Below are 20,390 nucleotides of genomic sequence, written 5' to 3' on the forward strand. Positions count from 1 at the left end.
GTAATAATGAGTCTTGGCAATACTACATTTTTATCTTCTCCACATCCCACTCATCAAACCACAACACACTATTCATGAACCTCTAACCTTCCTTGGAAGAGAGCATACTGGTGGGCACGGCTTTATCATCTTCACAATTCCAGCTTTAATTGGCTCTGCCCCTTGGCAATAGGGACAAAATCACCACATCTTTGAATTAATGCAAGATGTCTTGATCTTACTGGTTTGGGTCCTCCATTTTGACCCCAGTGATAGTTTTACTTCTTATAAATACATTTACATCATAATTACACTAGTATTGACAAAATTTTAACCAGAAACAACTTCCCAGCATGAACAATATTATGTCCATTTAGTTTATATTCACTTTTCTATATGGCATAGATAAGTTTGTTTATATATATATATATATATATATATATATATTTGTTTTAATGTACTACAGATCATTGTATTGAGTGCTACTGTTTTTTATATTACAAAGAAAACAACTCATCAAATCATTTTTTGTATATATTAAATTTTACCTAGTAGCACATACTATTATGAGTTTTCTTTTGTAACCATTATTTCTGTCAAGTCTATTTTTTCTGGGTCATGTTTTGTACCTCCAGCTTTTTTGTCATGAAGTTTAATTCTTCTAGCTTTTCTATCCAAAGCCAAATGTATTTTTATTTGGTGTTTAGCCCCATTTTTAAAGGCTTTATTGAGACATATTTTATAAAGCACACAATTCATCCATTTAAAGTGTACAATTAAATGGTTTTCAATATATTCACAAAGTTATGAAACCATCACCACAGTCTTATTTTAAAATTCTTCATCACTGCTAGGAGAAATCCCTTACCTATTAGCAATGACTCCTTATCATCCCCTAAGCTCCTCCAGCCCTAGGCAACCATTAATTTACTTTCTATCCGTATGTATTTGCCTGTTTGGAGCATGTCATATATGTGAAATCATACAATATGTGGTCATTTGTAATTGACTTCTTTCACTTAGCATAACATTTTCAAGTTTCACCCATGTTGCAGCATGTATCAGTACTTGATTCCTTTTTATTGCCAAACAATATTTCATTATGAGCATATACCACATTTTCTTTATCCATTTTTCAGTTCATGCACATTTGGGTTGTTTTCACTTTTTGACTATTATGAATAATGCTGCTATAAAATATTAGTGTACAAGATTTTCACTTTAATATATACCTAGGCATGGAATTACTGGGTTATATGATAACTCTATGTTTAACATTTTGAGGAACTCCAAAATTATTTTCCAAAGTGGCTGCATCACCCATCAAATTTTAATCAATAACAAATTTTTCCATGTGACAGTTTGAATGATGGCAAGTGTCTCTTAATGATAACTATTTCTACAGTTTATTATCCTGTTCTGTCTTTGCAATTTTCCATGTTTCCATTAAGAAGTGGTTTCTAGCTTTTTATCTATAACAAATTTTCAGGTTTTAACTTACTTAACTGAACATATAACTGGCTTCAGTTTTAACCATGTTATTTTGTGTTGATTATCTCTATGAGCAATAGTAATTGAACAAAGGATTAATATTTGTTACTCATTTCTGGAGTAAAGTCTGTTAGTAGAAATAAGGCACAGGGTGCATGAATCTAAAAATGTGACCAAAGCATCCTGCCTAATCCAGAAATTCTGTCCTTCTTTCTGACCTGGTATCCAGCCTTAGATAGATCCCTGCCTTACTCTTCTTTCCCCTTCTTCAACTAACTTGTCTTGGCAATATTTCGGAGTGAGGACTTGAAATAAGAAGGGCTTAGAGAAGTAGGTTAATTTAGGCCCAGCTGTTAATGGCTAAATATATTACCTTTCTCAGAGGTATTTGCATTTTAAATGAGGGTGGCTCTCCAGACACTTTTGGGGAACGAAGAGTCTCACCCTCCAAAGACCATTTGCAAAAATGGAATTTTTGACTTCGGAGTGAGGAAAGCCCTTAACATCCCTTGACTCCCAGATCCTTAGTGCTAGAGCGGACTTAGGAAGTCAACTCCACTTAAACCTCACTTGTTTATAGGGAAACAACCAGCAAAGGGGTGTGACTTGGCCAAGGTCACACAGTGAGGCAGCACTAGAGCTAGGCCTGTCACCAAGGGTAGCAGGCAGTATTCAGGCCTTTTCTATAACTCCAGGTCATCTCTCAGTGAAACTTTGTAGGCACCCTGCTGCTTAAGAATACACAGAACAATACATAGAACAAGAATACACAGAACAAGGGTGGGGATAGGCATAATTACCTCTCTGGGGTGAGATAGAAATTGCATGCCAGTGGCCTTAGAGACACTGAAAGACCCCAGGTAATTACATTGCCAGCCTCCATCTGTTGCCAAGTAACCCCTCAGTCACAGCATCACCAAGTCAGCCTCTTGGGCTGTTGTATCCTTCTGATCTGCATTTTTCTTCTTCTGACCTAATGACCTCTCAAATGCTTACAGCTGCCAGCTAATAGGATGAAAATTGCATATACCATCCAAATAAAAAAGACTTGCATGTTTCGATAGATTAGTTGATAATTAGGCTTCAAATTACTAATTAATTCAGTTTGAAACATAGTCGAGTATGTGGTGTGTTTTCTTCCCCCTTCAGAGGAATAATGCAATTCATAAGACGATAATTTTTAGAATTTCTGCCACATAATTAGCCTACTGCTGCATAGAACTGACCCACTCCTTCGGAATGTTTGTGATTAGGGTGTAATTATAGAGTTAGAGACCAAGGAAGGCTTTGAAAGGTTTAACAAAAGGAGGGAGCTACACTTTTATTTTACAGTTCTTTCTGTCCCTGTCGGAATGCATGAGCTTCAAAGTAGCCAGCAGCATTCTTTTAGCAGATCACTTCGGAGGAATGCTTCTGGGGTTCAAATAGCCACCTTTGAAGGGCTGCCGGAAGAGAGGAGGGGAGGAGATTGTAGGTTAGAGAAGACAACTTATAGGCAAGGAGTCAAAACAAAACAAAGCAAAACAAAAACAAACAAACAAAAAAAAAACCTTGTTTTTTGTCCAGATGCCCCTTTTAGCTGGCTCTGTATTCTTGGACAACTCTCCAATCCTCAGTTTCCTCATCTGTCAATTGAGAACAATAATTCCTACTCTACCTACTCATAGTGTCACTGGGGAGACCAAATATGTTGCCAAATGCACCATGCTTTAAAAAGTTAAAAGTGTTCTGCACAAATGGAAAATTCTTACTTCACATATTAAATCCGCCCATCTGTACATATTCACATATGGTGTGTATGTACATATGCATATATATGCTTGCATATATATCCATATTTTATAGGAGAGATATGTATGTTTATTTCCATAGCATTGGTGTGGGCATAAGATGAACTTGAACCATGCAGAAATTGGAAAGCTATGCCACTATCTCTCACAGATGTGCCTGGGTCCTGGAACACACAAGTGCTGAGCCTGGCTGCCAGTGGTCCTCCAAACCCTAACACTGACTGTGCATTCACTCCCTGCTCTGAGACTGTGGGGAGTGCAGACATCTGGCAGCCAGAGTCCTTCAGAGTTGTAGTTCTTATCTTTGTGACTCACCAGAAGCAAATCTTAGACCAAATGAGTGTTTCTCAAAACAGAGGACCTGTGGACCTCTGTAGTGTTTCTGTAGAGCCAGTTTGGAAAATGTGGCACCAACAAGCGAATGCTTCAGTGCCACTGCAATTGCCAATATGAGTACCTAAACCATGGAGTAAATGGTCAGATTGTTATACTGGTATTTAGAATTTTACTGGAATGAAAGCACATATTTTAAAATTCTCATAGAGAACTAGAAGATTGGGAGAATTTACACAGGTTTCAGCAGACTCCTGTCTGAAAAATATTGAATTTGTTGGACAACATTGACCAGTGTGAACAATATGGTGCCTTCTAGAGGAGTAATAACAATAGTAATATCAACAATCTCTCTCATTTTTATACCATATTATAGTTTATGTGATATTTCTGTATGAATCATACTACCGGGTTTTGGATGTCATAATACTCCTATGAAGTAAACAAGGTGGAATTCATCATCCCCATTTTACAGATGTGGGAACTGAGGCTGAGACATTACATGACTGAGCTGCAGAGGAGAAAGACAGGAACCTAATTAATGGAGTTTGGCTGTCAGGAATATGACAAAAACCAAGAGATGTGGGCATAAGAATAAGATGATCAGGCTAACCTGATGCTGAGACACTTGAGTCACTGAATTAGAATTCCTTAAACCCCTAATAAATTACAACAATAATAACAATGGCAATAACTTCCACAATTGACTGATTGCTACATTCTAGACACTATGATAAACACTTAAATGCATGTCAATTAAACCTTCCCAATAGCCCTTGAGGTTGATATTATCCTCAGATGAAGAAACAGAGCTTCAGAAAGGTTGACTTTTCCACAGTCACAAAACATATAAAGTGATGGAGCTGCACTTCTCCTCAAGGGCCATGGAATCCCAAAATTTGTGTTCTTATTACCGTGCCATGTGAGTGCTGGACAGGGAGAGTTGGGGAAAGAGTCAGGAAAGAGAGGGGGTTGTCCTGGACAAGACAGCTTGAGTTTAAATCTTGTCTACAGTAGCAGCAATAGATCTGACATTCCAACCCAGGCTCTCAAATTCCCATTGGACATCTGTCTCACCATTTACTCCATGGTTTAGGTACTCATATTGGCAATCGCAGTGGCACTGAAGCATTCACTTGTTAGTGCCGCATTTTCCAAACTGGCTCTACAGACACACCACAGAGGTCCACAGGTCCTCTGTTTTGAGAAACACTCATTTGGTCTAAGATTTGCTTCTGGTGAGTCACAAAGGTAAGAACTACAACTACATTGATGGAATTTTATTAAAATTATTATTTCTAGTGTGACAGAAGCTGAGGAAGAGATGACGGAGTTAGCCCATTCCAGGTCTTATCGGGGTACTTGGGAACCAGGACAGTTGGCCATTTCTGCCATGTGCTTGCAGATTAACTCCTGTAGAATGTTAGATTGGAAGTTTTAGTCTATTTGGCAGCTATTCCAAGCCCCCAGCCCCATGCTGCTGCTCCTCTGCGGGATCAGCCCTGAGCAGAAACTGTTCTTTAGTCTCCTTGCTCCCCTGTGGTGATAAATCTGTCAGCTCCTTCTGCAAAGCTGAGCTCATCCACTTTCTTCAGTGCCTCTCTTCCTGTTGGCTCTGTACCTCACAGTTATGTTTAGTTTCTGCAGCTTCTGGTTAGGCAGGTGGTATAGTAGTTGGGAAGGGTGGCTTTGGAGCCAGTTCTGGGTTTGAATTCTGACTTTTATACTTATTAGCTATGTAACATTAGTCAATTTATCTACCTTTTCTGAGTTTTTGTTGCCTTATCTTTAAAAAAGAGAATGATATTATGTACATTCTTATAGGGTTTTATGAGAACTAAGTGAGATCCCTCAACGCTCTCGGAAATGAAATCACATCTACCTGTTTTATGCTGCCATAGCCCCAGATATTTTTTCACTTACTATACTTGAGATTAGATAACTGATTCTCTATTATTTCATGTCTTCTTCCCTGTTTATCTACAAGCTCCTAGAGGAAGGATTGTGTGTGACTTATTCTCTGTTGAATTCCCAGGGCCTGGCGAAGTGAGTTGCACATAACAGGTGTGCTTTAAAAAGTCAATGAATGAATGAATGAATGAATGAATAAATGAATTCCTAGAAAATAATGTCTGCACCTACATATCAAATGTACTTAAAGGCAAAATCTTTTAGCACCTATGCTAGAAGAAGTAGAGGTAGTAGGAATATGAATTTAGTTATGAATATGCAAATAAGTAGTTAAAGACAGGCCTAAGAGGCCTTCTAACCCACTTCATGTAGAGAGCCAGAATCTCCTCTACAACGTCCCCAACAGAAACTCAGCCATCAGGTTCATGCTTGAATAATACCCAGTGATGGAAAAGTCCTACCTCTGAGACAGCCCCTTTTCTTCTCAAAGGGCTCAGACAGTTTCTGCACTCTTCCTGGAACAGGGCACGACCTGTGTGCTGCTCACCCTGTGTCACTCTCTCATCACTTCTGACTCTAATGCCCTCTGGCTCTTGCAAAACTTACCTGTGCCTTCCCACAAAGCAGCCTTTGAGTATTTGAAAATGGCTACCTTGCTTACTCTTTGGTGTTTGCACCTTCAGTCTGGACACACCCCTGTTCCCCCAGTGCCTTCTCTCAGGATGTGGTTCTTACAGCTGTCCAGACAACCACCAAACATGGACCAGGCCTGTCCGTATGCCTGATACTGCACTGGGCTCATGCAAGAAGGACTAAGAAGCATGAGGCTGAACTTTGTCCCAGAAGCAACCTGACCTTTTCTTCCAGCTAGATTAGAACATGTAAAATAACATTCTCAAAAGAATGCCAGAGAAAAATCACAGCCTGTGAAAATATCTAAGCCTCATAGATGGCCACCTACCCTGTCACAGTGTGGTGATCAGAGGCCAGGGAGGCCGCCTCAGCTGTGGGGTGTCTGGGAAGGCTCGTGAGGCTGCATCTACAAGGCCAGCAGTCATGTAGAGTGTGCCCTCCCCCTTGTTTGAAGAATCCAGCGGAGTGAGAGCTGAAGGGTACCTATGAAACTCATCTCACCCGGCGCCTCATTTTATAAAATAGACACTCAAGAATGAGAGAAAGGAGGTGATCTGTCTGAATTCACCCAGAAGTTAAACAGCAAAGCTGGGCTAGGATTTGGAGTATTCACTTGCTCCTTCTTTGTGGCTTCTTTTCTCCAAACTGCCTTTTCACAATGTGCCCATATGCCTCTGTGTTGAGGGTGGGGCAGGAGCAGAGACAGAGACAGAGACAGAGAGGGAGCTCAGAAGTGCTTCCTACTCCCCACTGTGCCCCTCTCAAGGACTCTCTTTGCTGATGAAGCTTATTCCAGTTTCCTCTTCTTCCTCCCACACAGCCTTCCCTCTCCCGCTCTGCTCTCACCTCACTGTTCGGTAACAGACACTGTGTGATCTCCAGAGCTGACACTGCCCAGAGCCTTTGGAAGGAAAAGGAGAGTGGGTGGATAGAAAGACAAACCCCAGATGCCAAAGGATGCTGTCTTCCAAGGTGATCCAAGCATCCCAGTCTAGGTTACTCTTTGTATTCACCCCCATCCTCTGAGAGAATTCACCCCAGAGACCTCTGAGATTTTCTGCCTCCCTCCAAGAAAAGTAAGATTCTGGTCCCATTTTATAAGGAGAAAAATGAAGTTCAAGTTGTTGAAAAACCTTTTGTAAAGTCATTTGACTAAAACTGGAATTCAAACTTAAAACCTTTCCCATTCTAAGGATTAGGCTTGTTCTCCATTGGGCCACACTGCCCAAACTGGGGAAACCTTTGCAATTCTTAGGACTGGTATTATAATTGAGCAAAGCCAAGAAATAAACTCCTTTCTTCCTTAAACTGCCTGGGTTTGAAATCTGGCTCAGCTACTTACTAGCTGTTTGTCCATTGCAAGTCACTTCTCCTGTTTGTACCTCAGCTGTCTCACCTATGAGTGGGAATATTAATGTGGATCTCATAAGATAAAGATAAAATGAGTTAATGTATGTAAAGTTTTAGAACACAGAGTGCAACAGAAGCCCAGGGTCTCATCCTAACTCTGTCACTTACTCATGACCATTTATGCAAATCATATTTTTCTGTAAGATCTCAATTTGTTCTAGAATTGGCATAATGTTTTCAAAAGGAAAAAAATCAGCAAAACAATCTTCCTGCCTGTGTGATTTAGGGTTCTAGTTTTCCTGATTGTCTTCAGTTCAGAGGTATCAAAAAATATCTCTCATAGCCACACTGGCTCCCTTAAGCTTAAGGAAGAGGCTGTTCTATTAATCTCAAGCACTTGGTGTGTGTATCTTTCGATCTTGCAAACCATGCACACCTAGGCTGATTTGGAATGGCCTTTTTCATGCTGGGTCAGCATCCTTTGGACCATTTCAGATATGTAAGACAGTGACTATGATTGCTCTGACAGAGCATGGAAACTCACTGTCACCAGCAGCCTTCAAGCAAGAGGGGCCCCTTAGCACTAATTTTGGCAGATGGTTGGTGAGCTATGTAACTAGAAGAGTCTGGTCCTTGTTTCCTTACCTATCCCTCTTTTTAAGACAGAAAAATAGAGAATACAATGGGAGGGAAATGGAGCTCCAGGAGACACAGGATTTTAGGTAAATACTTACTATGTGCCAAGCACTGTTCTCTAAGAATCTGACAGGTAACATAGTTAATCCTCACAACAGCTATGAGAAATACCATAATAATCCTTATGTTGCAGCAAAGGTTACTGAGGCACTAAAAGGTTGAGTAGCCCTCCTGAGGTTGCACAGCTAGGAGGTGGTGGAGCTAAGATTTGAATCTAGGCTGACATGCACAGGCAGTTTCTGTGACAGAGGGCAGTAACCCTCTGTGGCTCTGACTCTGAACCTCAATACATGCATATTTTCTGCTTGGTGTTCCCAGCCCTCTTCACCCAACCAAAGGCACTTTTTTTTTTTCAGGCTTCATGCTTTTGCTGCAAGACCTTCCCTGAGCTCCAAGATCAAGTTTGGGTCCACTCATTTTGCTCTATAATTACTTGTGTAATATTGGCCTTTCTCACTAGACCTTAGGTAACTTGAAAGCAAGGACCACACCTGTCTTCTTCTCTGCTACATTTCTATGTATAGCATGGGCCTGACAGTGTTAAGCACTCATGAGTGAATGAGTAAATGGACAAATAAATGATTTACTACAATATTTCTTACCTGGTTCCCAGTAGCTTTCATATTTATCATGTTTGGACTTTCATTCTTCTTTTTATCAAACATTCAATGGGCACCTACTATATGGGAGGCCTGTGAAGGTGTAAACCGGCTTTTCATCAAAAGATGGGCATGCTATGAGTATTTGCTTGGCCTTTTCTAGATAGGAAGGTTTTGATCATGTAAAGGGTAGATGCAATTGGTTTTAAGTCCACTGGGAACTGTAGCCATAAGGGCCCACCTCATACCAGGAAATTTGCTCTTGCTCTGAAATGGCCTTGGCCAGGTGTCATTCCTGACCACAACAGTTGGGGCAGAGTAAAGATGAAGGGACTCTCTGGAAGACCAACTATTCCCAGGCCAGGTAGTACACCCATGCAGCCTTGCACTCAATAGCCCAACCTGGAGTCCCTAACCTTCTGCCAGAAAGTGCCAGCATTTTATCCTAAATCCCAGGGCTAAGAGAAATTAGTTTGTGAGACCCTGACTGACATTTACAATGCTTTGTCAATACTGGATACTTGTATGAGGTATGTCTGTTGGTGTGTTTGCAGATATCCAAGTGTGCCTCCCTGGTTCCAAATGTAACTGGATAAGTCAACACGAATGCTTTTTTCTTCTCAATATTTATGGTGTTTTCACTGATTTAAGCACAGCTACAATACCTTGTTTAATTAGAGGGAACCAGACTACCCTCTGTGTTACCAGAGATTATATAGGGAGAGGACACCTTAAAGGTTTGGTTGGTTAAAGTGGCTAAAATAGGAAAATGTGAAGACTTTTATGCAGAGACATGGGTATTTGAGGACACAATTAAGTCTTCAGCCCAGGAGTATTCCACAAATTCACACATATCCATATTCATGCGCACATACCTGTGTGATCATAGAATTGTAGATCAAAGCTGGAAGAGCCCTTAAGAGAGAAATCAAGTGGCTCAGAAGTTTCCAAACTTTTTAGTTTGAGGCTCTATTTTCAAATGGAATCTTGGGGGAGAACTCTCATATATAAAACAGATAAAAAGCAGAGCTACTATGGTGGAAAAGAGAGGGTGGGATTTAGGACCACATCTTTCTGCCTTTTCCCTAACCTAATATGGTAACTTCTAAAATGCCTGCAACCAGGAACATAGCTTATAAGATCATTGATGTAGCCAAAGTTCTTATTTTGCAGATCAATCAACTAATGGCTATACAGGTTGAGATAATTGCCCAAGGACAAACAACTCATGAGATTCAAAGACAGGATTTATGTGGTTCTCCCTAAAACTCTTTTCCTGACACTTCTTATTTATGACCTGGTTCACAATAGACTACACAAAAAAGTCAATAAGAAGACCTCTTTGATCCACAAGACAAAAGCTGAGGCTGAGTGGTGACAGGATTGAAGCTTATAAAAAAATCATGAGAGGGTGAGAAGAAACTTTCTGTTCCTTCATTCCTCCACATGTATTGAGCATGCACCCTGATCCAGGTACTGCTTGTGGACGCTGTGGGGGCCAACGTCCCTGCCCTCCAGGAGCTCACAGTCTCACAGGGAAGATGAGAAGGGCCCCTGCACGTTCAAAGAGAAAGCTAGGAGAGGCCTAGAGAGATAGGAATAAAGTGCTGTGTGGTTCACATTTCAAGTACCAGCACACATTAAAGGAGCTAAGGGAAATGCCCTGATCTCATGGAAGCCTGATACTTCCTTCTTGGTATAAAAATGTGTGCTGCTCTGAGTGCTTCATTGCAGGACAGGACATAAATGAATAGATTGGCCTCACTAGTGGTTGGGAGGCTTGATGTACAGTGGTTAGAAAACAAGTCCTAGAGTCTTTTTACTTGTTGGTCTCTGTCCCTCACTAGCTATACTGTACTGAGCAGGAGCTACTCCATTAACTTAAGCCTCAATTTTTTAAATTTCTAATTTGCTAATGGGAATGATAATAGTACCCACTTTACAGGATTGCTATGAGGATTAAATGAGATAACACAAATAAAGTACTTAGCACAGTTTCTACTACACAGTACAGGTTTGATACGTGTTAGGTACTTGTAATTATTGTTTTAGCCAAAGTCTGCCTTCTATGACATTTGCCCTTTCATTGGCTCTGGCCTGCGTTCCAGAGCCTCAGAGAACAAATCATCCATCTCTTCCCCATGACAACCCTTCTGGGACTCAAATACATCCTTCACTTACTTTCTTGGTCTTCTATACTTTTTTAGGCTGATAATTCCCACTTTTAAAAAAATACTTCTAATATAAGACTTTTCAAACCACAGTTTCCTATAACTACTCTCTCAATGGAGCTGTCATCTAAGATTTTATCTGACAATTTGGGGAAACTTGGCATGTTCAACCTGTGCCATTCAGAGTATACAGTACAAGTTCTTTGATTTTTCTCTCAACTTACCTCCTGTGGATCTCAAGGGGATGGGATGGAGGAAGTGCTCTTTCCAGTGTCCCAGGATTTGTTTAATAAACCTTACTTGCCCGTTTCCTTGAACAATGTTAGATGCTCCTTCTTCCTTCTGACTGGTGTGGTGTCAGCACAGGCAGGATGATGAGGGCTGAACAGCTCGTATGTGACCCCTTGAAAGAATCCCAGAGCAAAGGAAATCCAGCTTTGAAGATAAAGCCTTTCATCCTTCGATAGCTATGTTCCTATACACCTGCTTCATGTTCTCTCAGGCTTCTTGCCTGACCCAGTCCCTGTATTTGAAGCAGTTCTAACACCTAACCTCTTTTGACCCAATGATAATGATAATGGTGAATGTGATGATCATAATAATAGCTAACATTCATTAAGCACTTACTATGTGCCAGACATGGTACTAAGTGCTTAGTTTTATTAATTCTTTTAAACCGTTCACCAATCCTGTGATGTAGGTGCTATATCTGCATTTTGAAGACCAGAGAACTGAGCCTCAGAGAGGTTAAGTAACCAGTAGACACATATAATCAGTTCTTTTCTTTCCAATTGCACGTGATAATTAATAGTCATAATGATGGCCCAGAGCCTCTTCAAGATTCTTAAAGCATTCTCCAAATCTTCACAGCAAGATGAAAGCATGTCCAATGTAGTTGTAGTGTTAAACACCTCTTTAGGATATCATAATTACTTGAAATGCCTTTTCATTCTAATCCTTTGAAAATTATAATTGGCATATGATAGATGGAGTGACTATATTAACTAGTTTACTTAATTGAGCGCATTTACTCCCCATCATTGTACTCAAATGCCTTTTCAACATTGTGTTACCTCCTACAGTGGATATAGAGAGGAGACAGATTCTGTTCTCAACTAATCCTCTCACCAGCCATATAACCTTAAGCCACTATTCCCCTCTTTGGGCCTCAGTTTCCCTATCTGAACAATATGAGGGGTTTGTTTTACCTCCTACAGTGGATATAGAGAGGAGACAGATTCTATTCTCAACCAATCCTCTAACTGGCCATATAACCTTAAGCCACTATTCCCATCTCTGGGCCTCAGTTTCCCTATCTGTACAATATGAAGGGTTTGGTCTTCTCTCCAAAATCTTTGCTCCTGTATAGGTCAAAAGTCAGCAAACTATGGTCCCTGTGTCAAATCCAGCCATCACCTGATTTTATATGGCTCATGAGCTAAGAATGATTTTTTACATTTTTTAATTGTTGGGAAAAAAATCAAAAGAATGATATTTTATAATATGTGGAACTATATGACATTAAATTACCATGCCCAAAAATATTGGGAAAGCCATGCTCTTCCAATTACTATATGCTAAATAGTAATAGTAAATTACTATTTTCTATATATGGCTACTTTCATGCTGCAATGGCAGAGCTGACTAGTTGTGACAAGAACTATATGGTTTGCAAAGCCTAAAATATTTATAATCTGGCCCTTTACATAAAAAGTTTGCTGACCCCTTGCATAGATGTGGAATAGGGGGACACTAATAGGCTTCAGATAAACTAGACACTTTGGAAGCATCTAAAGACCCTTAGGAGGTTAGTGTCAAGGAGAGGAACCTAGCGCAGTCCCACAAATATTCGTTCAAGAAAGACAGCTACATTTGAAGGCCCCTGCTCTGGCAGGGTGACATATTCTGGCTATTAACTGTGCCAGCCACAGTCTGAGGTTCATTGTCCCTCTTTGTCTGGAGCAATCTTGACACACCATCCTAAAGCTAAAGTCATATGTTTCTCCACTGGTGGAGCAGTAGAACACATTTGTGAAGAAGACAGATTTTATAGTTGGACCACAGTTTGAATTCTTGCTTGCTGTGTGATCTCAGGGAAATTTCCAAAGGTCTCTTAACCATAGCTCCTTAACAGAAAATTAGGATGGATACTCACTCACTCATTTATGCAAATAAGTATTGGGTGTCTACTGTGCACATTTACCTCTTGGAATTGTTTAAGTAATTAAAGGATTATGTATATAAAGCATTTAACAGAATGCCTGACTCAGGAATAGAGCTTGGAAAATGTTTAAAATACATCTCAAACAATTATTATTCTTTTGTTTTTAAATTACAGTAACCTCAAAACTCTTAAAAAGCTGTTTGAATAAAGTTATATAATGCATACAAAGGGGCATTTTTAGCCATTATTGTCATTTTTGTTCTTATAAGCAATGCTTCTGAAGCCGTTTTCAGTGGAGCACTTAACAGCACCAGTGTGCTTTAATTTCAGGCCAGGAGATAAAAAATTAAGCAGGGCTCTCTTAAAAGACCATAACAAAGCTTCAACAAATGCAACAACTTCTCTCCCCTGTCTTGCCACTGCTACTCTGTCCCCCACTTTCCAGTGACTAATGGATGATATCTAAGATACATTAGAGCTATCTGAGGATCGATTTTTATTTTTTAATAGTATTAAAAATACAATATATTCACATGATAAAACAGATATTACAGAAGGGTATAAAGTAAAAGATAAATGCCCATTCTTTCCAATTCTATACTTCATAGAAGTAACTATTTTAAACCCTTTTCCTGCATTTGGTTATTTAATGGTTTCCTTTACACTTCTACATCATATATTTATGTTTCTTTTTCTTGCTTTATCAACTTTAACTCCATATCTGACTTCCCATTAGAAAGATGACAAATCAGCTCATATTACACCCCCAACATCCCCTTCTCAATGTTTGTTAGCCTATATGCTATTATTTGGAATTCTTCTGATGATTACCTTGTATTTTTTACATAGTGAACCTTGATTTTTGATTCACCAGCATTAGAGCTTTGTCAAAATACAGATATCCAGTTTCCTCTTTAGGGCTACTGAATGATAATCCTTGGGGATGGTTATTTTGCAAAAGTGCCTCAAGGTATTCTGATACGTCCCTCAGAACCACTTTCTGAGAGCTTACAGTTTATTGGTCAATTTCTTTGCATTTAATAATGACAGTAGACACAGCATTCTTTCTCACCGATTTATTAGTCACACATGGGGCAATGTGAAATGCTACATAGGTGCAGAAGAAGCAGACAAGAACACAGTGACCTAATAGCCCTAGGAACTCACTCATCACCAAGCTTCACTTTAGGTGAGAAACAGTCACTCAAAGAGAAGCATCTGGTACCAGTGCTGGGAGGTCAGTGGAAGGAGAGTGGGTTTAGACCTGCATTCTTGTGCTGAATAGCTGGAAAAACACTTGACTAACCTGAAAAACAAGTACTCTGTAGATTAATTTCATTTTTTTTTTTGTCAGTAGTAACAGTATATAGAGCAATGGTCCCAGCATTTGGGAACATGTTGTAAATAGGCAAAGTGGCTCAAAGAGAGTAGTAATCAAACTTCGTAGTTAAAATTTTTAATAGAATATAATTAGCAATGTAGTATTTTTATATAATACTATATAATTAATAGCACAAATAAAGCAGATAAAGAAAAATGTTCTAATTACCAAATATTACCCTCTAAGGTTTTTTTTAATAAAATGGCAAAGAAAATTAGAAAATTATTTAATTAAACCTTATTTAATGAGAGTTCCCCGGGGAACAGAATGAGTGAATTGAATTTTCCCATAAACCAGTGGGCAAAGAGTTAACACCTTTATTTCCCCCTTCTTAGTCAAGAACACAGTTGTGCAGGTTCATTTTCTTGAATTATGGAGAAATTTAGTCTAGTAACTATAATAGAGTCATTTCTTAGTGATTAAAAGCATTGTAGAGATGCAAGATTATTATTCCCAGCATGAAATCTGAAATAGGAGGGAAGATGTCAGCTATTAGATGAGAATATAGTTCATGACCACAAGTTATTTCCTAATTTTGTTTCTTTTACTTAACATCATAGCTATGAGCTTGTTTTATCATTCTCTGTCCATTTTTTCTTAGGAGGGGATGGGGGTTCAGTTGGGGAGTCTTATTAGTTTGATCATAAGTAATTAAGGTTTGGCTGCACTAACCTTGTTGTCAGACATTCTGGTGACAAGATTGAGTGGCATTTATGTTGAGCAGTTGAGGAAACTCGGCCATTTCCTTTGGCCTCCATTATGTCTGAGATGGAAGCAGTCAGTATGAAATGCCCAGGACCTTGTTACAGATTTTCAAGAGACAGAATTTGACTGCAGGAGATACTTTCCATTTCAATCTCCCAGTAGTTACTTTATGAACATGTTCTTTTTAAAGTCTCTAAGAACTATGAGAAATCTTTCAACTGTGCTCTAGCTTTTAACCAGTGCTGGGGTAAGTGCTCTCTTAGATGGTATAACGTCTTGGAATGCATATTGGGTACAGGAACCTAGTTCTGATTTCACCTTTACTAATGGCTTGCTAGAACCATTGTGCAAATCAGCTACATCTGTGAAACTGTAAACTGTGGCTGTGGAACACGTTAAACTCAAAAGGTATTTTCAACCTGAATTTCTCTTTTCAACCAATTACAATCACCCACTGGTATTTGCTGCCTGCTGGTCATATTTCTCCTGGATAATTGGCTTTCTTTCTTGAGGAAAGTCTCTGGCTTTTATTTGTTCACTCAACAAATATATACTGTGCACCTACTCTGTGCCAAGCATTGCTCTAGGAGCAGGTTCTAGGACACATCAGTGACCAAGACAAAAAAGGTTCCTGCTCTTAGGAAACTGACATTTCAATAGGAGGAAAGAGGCTATGGGAACACATGAGTAAACAAGATAATCTCAAATGGTGATAAAAACTCTGGAGAAGCTCTAACAGGGCACTGAGATAGAGCAGACTGGATAGGGTGCTGGGGGTAACTCTACTATGTTCTTCCAGAAGCAGTTCCCTGAAACAAGGATTCAAGTACAAGGGGCTTCTTGGGTGCCAATCCTAAAAAACCAGGGAAGGGAGGCAGAGAAGGGAAGTCTGCCTACAAAGTTTCATAAACAAGATGCCTACACTGCAGGCTACTGAAGGAGAACAGTCCCTGAGGGGATCCCAACATGTCAGTGTAGAACTCACCTCAGGGTCATGCCATGCAGGGGAGAGGATTCTGGGGCACTTATCTACTGACTCTTCATCTGTCATTGATTGAAAGCTGCTTCTGGGCATATTAACTCCTTAACATGTCTAACTTAGCCTGCAGGTAGGCGGAGTAGCCAGGTGTTTGCAGTTGGTACGTAAAGTAGAATACCCATGTAGAAAGGGGAGTGGAAGCGAACAGGATGCTGAGATTGTCTACAACAGGGCAAGAACTAGTTCTTTAGATAAGAAGTCAGGAAACACCTCTCTGAGAGATGGCAGTCTAGCTGAGATCCAAAAAATGGAAAGGAGCCAGACAGGGAAATCACATTTCCAGGCAGAGAGAATATCAAGGACAAAAGCTCTGAGTGTGACTAAGCTTGCTTTGTTTATAAAAATAGAAACAATAAAAAATCGCAGAACTTTAGAGGCATAGGGGTGGGGGAGGGTTGTTTTTGAATCATAAAGTCTATTCTTTTAGATAGAAAAATCAGAGAAAGCCAATGAGAAATTCAGAAACATAGACGGTATCCTAGGATCCCAAGAGGGAGCTGGGACCGCTGCTCTAATTCCTTGGCTCCCAGTTCAGAACTTCTCCATCGACCATGGATCCCCTGCTCATTTTCCCATTTCATTCATTGGAATTTGGTGGTTTCCCCCAAGCCATGGAGCTGAAAGGGAATTGCCTGTATGATCCCACTCAAATTCCTTGGGCAGTTTTCCAAGATACGATCAATGGCATATGAGTGGAAGATCTGCATGTGACTTCTGAAAAAAGTTCTTCATGAAGAAGTTGTGCATTCCATTTTTTTTCTTCCTGCTGGGCAGGCCCCCAATTATACCTAAAAGAAACCCAAGTTAACACAAGGCTCTATGTGACCAGCTTTGGGCTGCCAATTTGACCTCCTTTCCCACCCTTTCTCTTCAAACTCACTGTGCCACAATCACACCAGCCTCCTTACTGTTTCTTGAATATGCCAATCATCCTCTCACCTCTGGGCCTTTGCTCAGAATGCTCTTCTCCAAATATCCCCATAGCTCAGACACAGGCATCACTTCACTCAGGTCCCTAAGCCAAGACCACCTCCTTGCGGAGGCTCATCCTCATCACTCCTTCCAAAGCATGACACTGCCCCTCCCCATCCTCTTACCTCACTTTATCCTTCATGGGGCTCATTGCTACCGCAGAGTATACTATCCCAGATTATACTATACTATGCTGCATATTTACTTGTTCATTTATTGTCTGTCTTCCCCACTAGAATATAAGCTCCATAAGGGAAGAAACTTGCTTTATTCACTATTAGAATAGTGCACTATGACTTTTCAAAAATGTTTGTTGAAATGATTAATCAGTGAATAAGTGAGTGAGTGACTGAGTGAACCAATGCCTAACAGAGGCCCTTAGTTCTGGTGCTCTCTCTGTTACTAACTCCCTAAATGACGCCTCTGCAAGTTGATTCTTCTACTCTGCCTCAGTTTCTTTATCTGGCAAATAGACATATAATGTTTACCTTAAAAAAGGATAAACTGAAATGAGGCCATAGATATGAAAGTACTGCACATTATTGAATATATTATACAAATGTAAGATTTCCTTTTACAGTCGAAGCCTTCTTGAGTTTTAGTAAACTTCACCAAATGGGGTGGAAAGTGTCATTATAATAAACAATCCTTCATGGTTGCTGGAATTGATCAGGCCTCATGGAGTGGTGAAAATTTACCCTGTTGTATGGAAAAGAGCACAGGGTGAGGATGGAGACTGGGATCAGAACTCGGCCTCTTCCACAGACTTGCTGGTGTCCTTGGGTAACTCATAGGAGCTTGCCCAGTGAAATTCAGATTCCTCTTCTCTCAAAATGGTTGGGTATTGGGATGGTAGACGAGATTATTCCCTCCTTAGAGGTTTCTACCTTGTACTATATATCTGCATCATCATAATAATCACAGCCACTATTTATTGATCACTTGGTCTGCCCCATGCACTTGACATGTGTCGTTGCATTGTATGTTTACCCCAACAACCAGACCTCCATTATTCAGACAAGAAAACTGTCAAGTAACTTAGTTAATAGTGGTATAACTACTGGCTTATGCATAGCAGCGCCAGCACTCCAAACTAGGCATACTGGCTCCTGAGCTGTGCTAATTTTGTGCACAAACTAAGTAATAATCAAGTTCAAAGGAAAGGAGGCCTAACTGTCTCTCCATTGAGTAGGTTTCATCTGGTGGAACTGAATGGAAAATCCTGTGGTTTTGGAACAGGTTAAGTTGATTTATCCAGGCAGCATGTTCTAACTTCTCCCTCCTCCCCCTCTCACAGGGCTTCATGGACATTGACTTAAACAAATTCAAGGAGAGTGGCGCCAATGTGACAGGTTTCCAGCTGGTGAACTACACAGACACTATTCCGGCCAAGATCATGCAGCAGTGGAAGAATAGTGATGCTCGAGACCACACACGGGTGGACTGGAAGAGACCCAAGGTGAGTGGATGGGCAGCCAGCAGCAAAGGGCCAGCCTGGTCCCTTTGCCTGCCCCAGATTTCTGAGCTGCATTAGTCTTTACAAAGGAATCAGTTTTCTAAAGCGAACAAATTCAGGGAAATATATTTGTAAAGATTATTAGGTACAAGGTGCAGGGGTCAGACAACCCAAAATGACATGGTTTTAAGGAGGGAGACATTTTATTTATCTCTCCTGTGAACAAAACTTAGGAGTCAGCAGTCCCAGACTTGTAAAATGGCTCCACAGTTATCAAATACCCAGGCTTCTTGTACCTTCTTGCTCTGCTGTCATCCACATACGGCTGCTGCCTAATAGTACAAGAGGGCTGCTTAAACTACAGCCATTGCCTCAGCATTCTACCCAGTAGGAAGAAAAAAAAACATGCAATGCACAACTTCTTCATGAAGAACTGTTTTCAGAAGTCACAAGCAGATCTTCCATTCATATGCTATTGATCGTATCTTGGAAAACTACCCCCAGTTGGCTGCAAGGGAAGCTGGAAAATGGTGGTTCTATTCTGGGCAGAGCCACCATGTTGCCCAGCTCAGGAGGATGCTCATTTCATTGTAGATTGAGCTTCTTTGTGTAGTGAGGTGGCCCTTATTCTGCTCAGCCATGTGCCCAGCTAAAAATCAGGGCAACCTAACTAAGGAATATCCAGCAGATCTCTACCTGGGAGAGTCCACTCTCAGTAATCAGGCAGACTCTCTGCTTCTCACTTCCCAGCAACACAGCTCTAAATACTGCCACCAAAATCTATTTTGTTTGTTATTTGAGAATGCTTGGGAATAAGGATAGCGAATGATTCTTTTTCTGAAGTCAAACCAGATAGATTGACAGTGGCCATATGGAACCCTGTGTTGAGAAGGATACTAAGGCCAAGTTTGTTTATCTGGACAAACAGTGAATCTTTGACAGACTTTCTCTTGCCACTCAATCCATTTCTTTTTATAAATGGCAAACCGTATAACAGAGATACTTCTTATCCCACTATTCAAACTGATTTAACTCTTCAATAATGAAGACTTATTTCAATATGATCTTAAGCAAACAAAATCGCAAATATGCTTTCAAGCAATGAGAAAACTACATAGGAATTAATTAAGTAATGTGTAATGATTGCACTCCAATTTCCAAAAGACTGAGCAGATGACAAAAATAACCAAATGTAATTTAATTTTTTTTTTTTTTTGAGATGGAGTCTGGCTCTGTTGCCCAGGCTGGAGTGCAGTGGCATGATCTCGGCTCACTGCAAGCTCCACCTCCCGAGTTCACGCCATTCTCCTGCCTCAGCCTCCCAAGTAGCTGGGACTACAGGCACCCGCCACCACGCCTGGCTAATTTTTTGTATTTTTTAGTAGAGATGGGGTTTCACCGTGTTAGCCAGGATGGTCTTGATCTCCTGACCTTGTGATCCACCCATCTCAGCCTCCCAAAGTGCTGGGATTACAGGCGTGAGCCACTGCGCCCGGCATGTAATTTAATTTTTTAAAAAAGAAGTGAGAGAATTAAATTTAAAAAATTAGAAAAATACCCATTCATTCGTTCTTCAATTCTCTATTGTGAACTTGGAGTGTGCTAGGCAACATAATAAGTATTAGGAACAAATTAGTGAAGAAAACAGACATAGGTTCCAAAGCCAGGATATATTTTCCTGGACTGCTCTCCTGATTTTGTTTCATCCACATCCTAGTCC

The 20,390-nt window shown here is 40.3% G+C and overlaps 1 protein-coding gene across 14 annotated transcripts in view; it reads left to right on the forward strand.

Annotated features, from left to right (window-relative positions):
* GRIA1 (glutamate ionotropic receptor AMPA type subunit 1) overlaps positions 1 to 20,390 on the forward strand; it is a 324,255-nt gene that overhangs the window by 166,374 nt on the left and 137,491 nt on the right. For all 14 annotated transcript variants that reach the window (NR_157093.2, NR_047578.2, XM_047417128.1 and 11 more), the window contains one exon: positions 18,512 to 18,673. Coding sequence is in view for 12 of the 14 variants with exons in the window: in XM_047417128.1 (XP_047273084.1) it covers positions 18,512 to 18,673 (162 nt within the window). In the remaining 2 variants the exon portion in view is untranslated. The remainder of the gene's footprint in view (positions 1 to 18,511; positions 18,674 to 20,390) is intronic.

The sequence above is a fragment of the Homo sapiens genome, chromosome 5, assembly GCF_000001405.40.
Source record: "Homo sapiens chromosome 5, GRCh38.p14 Primary Assembly".
NCBI lineage: Eukaryota > Metazoa > Chordata > Mammalia > Primates > Hominidae > Homo > Homo sapiens.